Here is an 8,601-nt window from a genome sequence, read left to right as displayed (position 1 = left end):
TGATAAAGAGCAAAACCCTAAAGATAGAGAAAAATAGACATGTTAAAAATAATAGCAAAGTTCCACCTGAAACAGCAAGAGAGACGATGGTAGAGCAACAGCTCCAAGGTCCTGAAACTTAAAAAGAAAAAATATGTCAAATAGAATTCTATACCCCGAGAAAATACCTTTGAATATTACTATGAAATATATTTCAGATGTTCAAATTTGGAAGAATTCATCTCCAGCAGACCTGCACTATTAAGAAGGAAAATGATAACGTAGAGATATAGATCCACACAAAAGAGTGAACGCCGGTAACTGTAATTACATGGATAAATATATGATTTAAAAAAAAAAATTAAATCTTAGAAGACAACTGAGTGGCTGGAGGTGAAGCCTGGGCTGGAGGGGTGGGGTGAGAAGGCGCCGCGCCAGTTAAAGGGCAAAGGTTGCCTTGCGCCTGCGCCTTGTGCTCCTGACTGGCTGCGCTCCCTGCCCCCAACACCGCCGTGGCCTGGGAAACGGTCCCAGAGCTGCTGAGCCGACCTACTGGTGTCATGGCAGCCCCAAAGACAGCAGCTGTGGGGCCGTTGGTGGGAGCGGTGGTCCAGGGCACCAACTCCACTCGCTTTCTGGTTTTCAATTCAAAAACAGCGGAACTACTTAGTCATCACAAAGTGGAATTAACACAAGAGTTCCCAAAAGAAGGATGGGTGGAACAAGACCCTAAAGAAATTCTTCAGTCTGTCTACGAGTGTATAGCGAGAACGTGTGAGAAACTTGACGAACTGAATATTGATATATCCAACATAAAAGCTGTTGGTGTCAGCAATCAGAGGGAAACCACTGTAATCTGGGACAAGTTAACAGGAGAGCCTCTCTACAATGCTGTGGTGTGGCTTGATCTAAGAACCCAGACTACTGTTGAGGATCTTAGTAAAAAAATTCCAGGAAATAGTAACTTCGTCAAGTCTAAGACAGGCCTTCCACTCAGCACTTACTTCAGTGCAGTAAAACTTCGTTGGATGCTTGACAATGTGAGAAACGTCCAAAAGGCTGTTGAAGAAGGTAGAGCTCTTTTTGGTACCATTGATTCATGGCTTATCTGGAGTTTGACAGGAGGAGTTAATGGAGGCGTGCATTGTACAGATGTAACAAATGCAAGTAGGACAATGCTTTTTAATATCCATTCTTTGGAATGGGATAAAGAGCTCTGTGACTTTTTTGAAATTCCAATGGACCTTCTTCCAAATGTCTTCAGTTCTTCTGAGATCTATGGCCTAATTAAAACTGGAGCCCTGGAAGGTGTGCCAATATCTGGGTGTTTGGGGGACCAATGTGCTGCATTAGTAGGACAAATGTGCTTCCAGGAGGGACAAGCCAAAAACACCTATGGAACAGGTTGCTTCTTACTGTGTAATACGGGTCGTAAATGTGTGTTTTCTGAACATGGCCTTTTGACCACAGTAGCTTACAAACTAGGCAGAGAGAAGCCAGCATATTATGCACTGGAAGGTTCTGTTGCTATAGCAGGTGCTGTTATTCGTTGGCTAAGAGACAATCTTGGAATTATAGAGACCTCAGGAGACATTGAAAGACTTGCTAAAGAAGTAGGAACTTCTTATGGCTGTTACTTTGTCCCAGCCTTTTCAGGGTTATATGCACCTTATTGGGAGCCCAGTGCAAGAGGGATACTCTGTGGCCTCACTCAGTTTACCAATAAATGTCATATTGCTTTTGCTGCATTAGAAGCTGTTTGTTTCCAAACCCGAGAGATTTTGGAAGCCATGAACCGTGACTGTGGAATTCCACTTCGTCATTTGCAGGTAGATGGAGGAATGACCAACAACAAAGTTCTTATGCAGCTACAAGCAGATATTCTTCATATTCCAGTAATAAAACCCTTTATGCCTGAAACAACTGCACTAGGAGCTGCCATGGCAGCAGGGGCTGCAGAGGGAGTAAGCGTTTGGAGCCTTGAACCCCAGGCTTTGTCAGTTCTCAGGATGGAACGATTTGAACCACAGATCCAGGCCACAGAAAGTGAAATTCGTTATGCCACATGGAAGAAAGCCGTAATGAAGTCAATGGGTTGGGTTACCAGTCAGTCTCCTGAAGGTGGTGATCCTTCTATCTTCTCTAGTCTGCCTTTGGGATTTTTTATAGTGAGTAGCATGGTAATGCTAATTGGAGCAAGATATATCTCGGGTGTGCCATAATAATACCAGCTATGGAGTCCCAAGATGTAAACATTTTACATAATGAAAGCATATAGCAGTTCTGCCTCTTAATATAATGACACTATTATAGACTCTGATTTTGTTTATAAACCACTTGCTACATGACCCATGAAAACCCTAGACTTGTGACCTGAAATAAAGAAAATACGTTAGAAGAGCACTGTAGAAATATTGGGTGTGTTTTTTTTAACATCGACAGGGTTGGGCCAGCCATCTTGAAGGCTGGCCCCCTCCATTGCCATAACATTCTGCCCCATTCTTTCTAAAACATAGGCTATTCAGATTCTATTCATGGAATCTTTTTATCAACTATCCTCTAACACTTATGGACCCAGATTTGGTTCTTTGTGTTACACACACTTGATTAAGAGGTGTAATTAATCTGCTAAAATTAAGGGACTTTTTGTCATTGTTATTCTTGTTTTTAATAGGCTACAAGTCCTCCTTTCTACATATTAGAGAGACTACATCTTAACTGAATGTTTAATGGAAATATTTGCTAAATTCTTACAATAGAAATTTAGTATTCTCATAGCTTAGATATTTTCCTGAAAAATATTTGCCAAATTGAAATTTATTAGACAATTTACATGGTCTCATTAATTACTATTTTACTGAATTATTGTGTGAATCCTAGAGGGACAGGGACACTATTTCCCTTTTTTATATCATGTCTATATCATATAGAGTAGCTCATTTATAAGTTGAAAGTACATTGTAGTCAGTAGATTATAACATGGATGGTCCTAAATACTTTAAGGTAAACAGCTATATACATTTTGGGGAATGTGTATACATATTATTTATCAGGAGAAACCTACAAAGGCAGTATTTAAAAGTTAAATATGTTTTATGCTGCTACAAAAAGTATATTATGATTGCACCAAATTTCTTATAACTTACTCTTTTATTTAATATATTAGCTGGATATATGCTGGGAAAAAACACTGGAATATTTCAGAAAATATTGCTTTCAAGTAGGAAAAAACAAATGACTGTTCAAACAAAAATAATAATATAGTATGAAATGCAAGCATGTCTAAAAGAAAACAATAGCAAAGAAGAGGATAAATGAAGGTGTAGTAGTTTGAGACTCATATACTGTGTGGAAAATGATGTATCACTTGAAGTTATAGTGATAATGAAAGATATATACTATAAATCCTGAAATAACAAAATGTTATATTAAAAATATGCACTAGAACTACTAAAATATTCAATTCTAAAGAAGATACAAAACAGATGAGGAACAAAGAAAAGGTAGGAAAATATATTTAACCCTAACCATACCAACAAGCACATTAAATGTAAATGATTTGATTACCCCAATTAAAAAGGAAACTTGTCAGATTTAAAAAATAAAACCAAAATATACACTGCCTCCAAGAAACATACTTTACACATAAGAAAAAAAGGTCAAAAGTAAAATGATAGAAAATGGATATACCAAGTTAATAATAATAAAAAAGAAATATCAGAAAGTAAATTTCAAAACAAAGAATATTAAAAGTGATAAGATCATTTGCAATGATAATGGGGTAAATTCAAGAGGACATAACAATTCTAAATATTTATGCACCTCATGATGGAGCTTCAAAATACATAAAATCTTATAGAACTGAAAGGAAAAATAAAAAGTTGTGCAATAACAGGAAGATATTTCAATACCTCTTCCTCAATATTTGATAGAAAAAGTAGTTAAGTTTACTAAGATATGGATTTTAACAACACTATCAAACAACATGACTTAACTGACATTTATGGAAAATGCCACCCAACAATAGGAGAATACATATTCTTTTCAAGTGCACAGTGAATATTTACCAAGATTGACCATATAGAGGCCAAAAAGCAAGCCTCAAAAAATTAAAAAAGATTTCTTACAAAGTATGGTGTCTGAGCACATTAGAATTATACATCGACACTAGAAAAATCTTTAGAAAAGTCCCCAAACATTTGAAAACTAAGTAACAAACTTTAAAATAATTGATAAGTTAAAGAGATAAAGAGGGAAAATAGAAAGTATCTGGAATTGAGTGAAAATGAAAGCACAACATATTAAAATTTATGAGAGATTGTTAAAGCAGTACTTTAGAAGAATTTTATAGAACTAAATGCCTGTATTAGAAGGGAGAAAAGGTCTTAAATCACTAACCTCTGCTTCTACCTTAAGAAACGAGAAATGGAGTAATAAATTAAGCCCAAGCTAAATAGAAGAAGTAAAGAAATAGTAAAGATGAGAGCAGTAGTAATCAATTAATTCTAAAGAAGATACAAAACAGATATAGAAAATAGAAAACAATGACAAAATGGCAAAATTGATATAACCAAAAGTTTGTTCTTTCAGAGTGTGAATATGATAAACTTTTAGCCTCCGTTACTAGAAAAAAAGGAGAGAAGACAAAAATTATCCATATCAGGAATGAGATTGACATTACTACTACAGGTCCTGTAGGATATTAAGGATAGTAAAATGAGAATATAGAAATATTATGAAAACCTTATGCCAGTAAATTTGATGACTTGGATAAGATGAACAAATTCATTGGAAAACACAAACTTCTTAAACTCAGGAAAATATAGATAACCAGAATGGCTCTATATCTCTTAAAAATATTGAATTTCTAGCTTAAAACCCCCCTTACAAAGAAAACCTCAAGCTCAAGTGGCTTCTTTCACACTTATAAGGAAGAAATAATGCCTATCCTACACAAATTTTTCCAGAAGACTGTAAAGAAGGGAATGTTCTCAAACTCATTCCATGAGGCCAGGTTTATCGCATTATCCTGGTTCCAACACCAGGAAAAGAAGATGTTACAAGAAAAAACAACTGTGGACCAATATCTGTCATAAACATGGATGCAAAAATTCTGAACAAAATTTTAGCAAATTAGTTTATCAATATTTGAAAAGAATAATACATCATGACCAAGTGAGGGAATGTAACAATAGGATAATGAGTCAGCATAATTAGAAGACTCAATGTACTTCACCAGATTAACAAACTAAAAAAGAAAAACTACATGAGATAGAAACTACACAGTAACCAGAATACCTAAAAAACAAAACAAACAAAAAAAGAGTGCCTCTACCAAATGCTAGTAAAGATGTAGAAGAACTTGCCTTTCATGTTTCTTGTGAAAATATAAAATAGTGTAAGCACTTTGGAAAACAGTTTGAGAATTTCTTCAAAAATTAAATATACATATGATCCTAGGTATTTACCCAAGAGAAATGAGAACATATGTCCATACAAAGACTTGTTCACAGGACTTATTATGGCCAAAAGTTGTTTACAACTCAAATGGCCACCAACGGGTAGAAAGATAAACAAACTATGATATATCCACACAATGGGATACTATTTAGTAACAAAAAGAAATGAACTATTGATAAACACTATAACATAGTTGAATTTCAAAATAATTAAAGGAAATAAGCCAGACGAAAAGAGTATAGTATGATCCTGTCCTTAGAAGATTCTAGAAAATTCAAAGTATTGTACAGTGTCAGAAAGCAGATCAGTAGCTGCCTGGGAGCTGGGAGAGGGGTGATGAGAAACTGGCAGGAAGGCTTAGGAGGCATGATTTTAAAGGGGCACGAAGAAAATTTGGGGGGTGAATAATATATTTATTATAGTAATTATTGCGGTGGTTTGGAGGATAAATACATATGTCAAAATTAATCAAATCAAACACTTTAAATATTTGCAGTCAATAATACCTCAGTAAAACTATTTTTAAAAGGAGAAAATTATCTTCAAACTCTTAAGGAATATAGCCAAAGTTTATTCAAGTAGCTTAATCTCTGCTCTTTATTATGCATACTGATGTATCCTCACTGAGTCTGCAGTGAGCTAGCATGGGGTGTACCAGTTCCTCTCTAGCAGGTCTGTGAGCTCTATTTGAAGTCATTTGTGTGATTAGGCTGGAGAAGTACATGATAATGTCTACAATCATTTAAAACAAATTAATTTCTCATTTCATTCTATCCGGTCATAATTCTCCTTCTGGGACCTATTCCAAAGGACCTTATGAAGAGTTACAAACAAAGATGTCATAAGAAAATCAGAAATAAAAGTCCTCAAACTCAGCATCTCACTCTCACTCCTTCCATATGCACATTCCTGTGCTTATCAGCTTATCTTTTTTAGGTATCTTTGCCTTTAAAAGCCTCATTTTCTTAACTTAACTCATAGGATATTGGTAAATTACAATACTTTACCCCAAGGCTATAAAGGAGCTTCTGTGTATTTTATTATAAAATTATCTAATTAATAATTTCTCTATATTGCCACTAAGCAGAACTACATGGTGAAATTATGATGATGGGGTCTCACTGCATGCATGTTATGAAACAGCAAGTCATCATTTAATGTCAGGCATATGTGCGAGTGAGAGAGCATGAGCTGGAACACTAACCAGGAGAAAGAAAAGCACCTAATTCTGATGCTATTTTCCGAGAAGCCATTTTGTAAATTTAAGTTGTGGCTGGGAGGGGAGGAGGACAGTAAGAAAGAATAGTGAGAGAGAGAAAAAGTTGGAGGACAGGAAGAGAAAGAGAGAGAGAGGAGAAGAAGAAAAGAGAAACAAGGTGAGGAAGGGAAAGAAATGTTAAAGGTATCCGAAGAGAAGACAGATGTATTATTAAATCTAATTAAAAACACCTCATGTGATATAAATGTAGAAGCAGCACTAAACAGCTAGATCATTTCTAACTGAGCTCTGGGAATGGAAACCATATACACTGCACTGAGAGAGATAAGCATCTCCCCCTCCCCACCCTACTCAGAATCTGAATTATTATCTGTTTGTGTGTGATGTCTGGTGCTTATATTATCATTTTGATATTAATATTCATAATCTACCAAGGAACCTATTGTTTCACTCATGGTAAGCCCTCGTTCTCAATGCGTGAGTCTAAATGTTACATTATACAATCCTCATTTTGGTGGGAAATTATGTACCAACTCTATGACTGCTCTATATGGAAAATTTGCTTTCATGCCTTTTTTTAAATCTTGTGAACTAATAAGATCCCCTAGGGTAATCTTCCAGCAAAGTCTAGAATAAATACAATACCATCTCAGTAAGTCACCTACTTTAACCTCCCACTGAAATGACAGCTCTATAGTCTGTCTATATTCTGATTGTTTCAATCAATACAAAATGAATAAACTTAATAAACTTAATATTTAAATAGCCCCCATCGTTTCCATCAACAACCTTTACAGCTCAATTTATTCGAGGCTTGGAGAAATTGCATGTGATCCTTGTTCTCTATGTGTTTAGCATACATTATACTTCATTATCATATCAGCCCTCAACAAAATGATTTATTTTAGAAAAGAAAACAAGAGAAGGCCTTGACCTTTGGTGGGAAAAAAAAACAGAAGGTGGTAAGACTGTAGTGTTAATCTCATATTAAACTACCTATGAAATTCAGTTTACCGTTACAAAAACTAACAAACCTTTCTTATATTCAGTTATTAGAATATGTTTTTCAAGTGTCATAGGAAAGTCAAGTTTGGAAAATATTTATAATGCCAAAAATAGTAAGGAAACACTATACTGTCTATACCAGTAGCTTTGAAACAGAGTTGAGCAAAACCAGGACAAAAATGTTCTAGTAACTACAAATAATGATAACTCTATTTTGTTTAGATTTTTCTCCAAACAGAGGTAGACAATATGCTTAATTGCACCTCCCTGCTTCCACCTTTGTGGGCCTCAGCAATGTGACCAGAGCAGGGGATGAATAGACAACCTGGGAAAGAATCTTTAATTAGGTTCTCTCTCTCTCTCTCTCTGCTCTCTCTCTGCTCGCTCGCTCTCTCTCTCTTTCTCTCTCTCTCTGCTCTCTCTCTCCTCTGAGAAAAAGTTTGTCTGGCCTCAAGTGCACGTCACTGAATCAACTGGTCACTTCTTCCACATTCTATTTCAAATAGGTCATAGATATTTACCATTAGCTCGGTTTTATAATTAACAACATTGAGGAAAATAACAAGAAAATCATCTTCACAATCCAAAAAAGTTATAGCGTTAGCATTTAGGAGATGATTCATCTGGGGAATAGGATTCGTTCTGTAGAGTTTGGTATTCTCAAAAATAGTCTTCTCAAAGAAAACTCCAAGACTACATTCATGTGCAAGAAGAGGTTGTAGTTAGGTAAGGCTCAAGAGACCGTCTAATCCAACATCATCTAATACAATGAAGTAGGTGAAAATTTTAAGTCACTTACTAGATGTCATTAAAACATGTTGAAAGAAAGATTAGAAAAAAAGTTTTTAGATTTCTAATGTTCCTTTAATTTCACCCAATTGATAGTGCTTTTCTTGGACTACATCTACCTATACCTACTATCTAAAAGATGAAAGTGA

General features: G+C 35.4%; 1 protein-coding gene across 1 annotated transcript; it reads left to right on the top strand.

Annotated features, from left to right (window-relative positions):
• The first annotated feature begins 511 nt into the window (after positions 1 to 511).
• On the top strand, positions 512 to 2,379 carry GK2 (glycerol kinase 2). Its single transcript, NM_033214.3, has one exon. The coding sequence runs from the start codon at positions 540 to 542 to the stop codon at positions 2,199 to 2,201; it is 1,662 nt and encodes a 553-aa protein (NP_149991.2). The 5' UTR covers positions 512 to 539; the 3' UTR covers positions 2,202 to 2,379.
• Positions 2,380 to 8,601: the final 6,222 nt, after the last annotated feature.

This window comes from Homo sapiens, chromosome 4, assembly GCF_000001405.40.
Source record: "Homo sapiens chromosome 4, GRCh38.p14 Primary Assembly".
NCBI classification, from domain to species: domain Eukaryota; kingdom Metazoa; phylum Chordata; class Mammalia; order Primates; family Hominidae; genus Homo; species Homo sapiens.
This window is presented reverse-complemented; position numbering and strand designations above follow the sequence as displayed.

What these genes read in the sequence shown, in the direction of transcription:
- GK2 (NM_033214.3), top strand. Translation starts at nt 540, where the DNA reads ATGGCAGCCCCAAAGACAGCAGCTGTGGGGCCGTTGGTGGGAGCGGTG.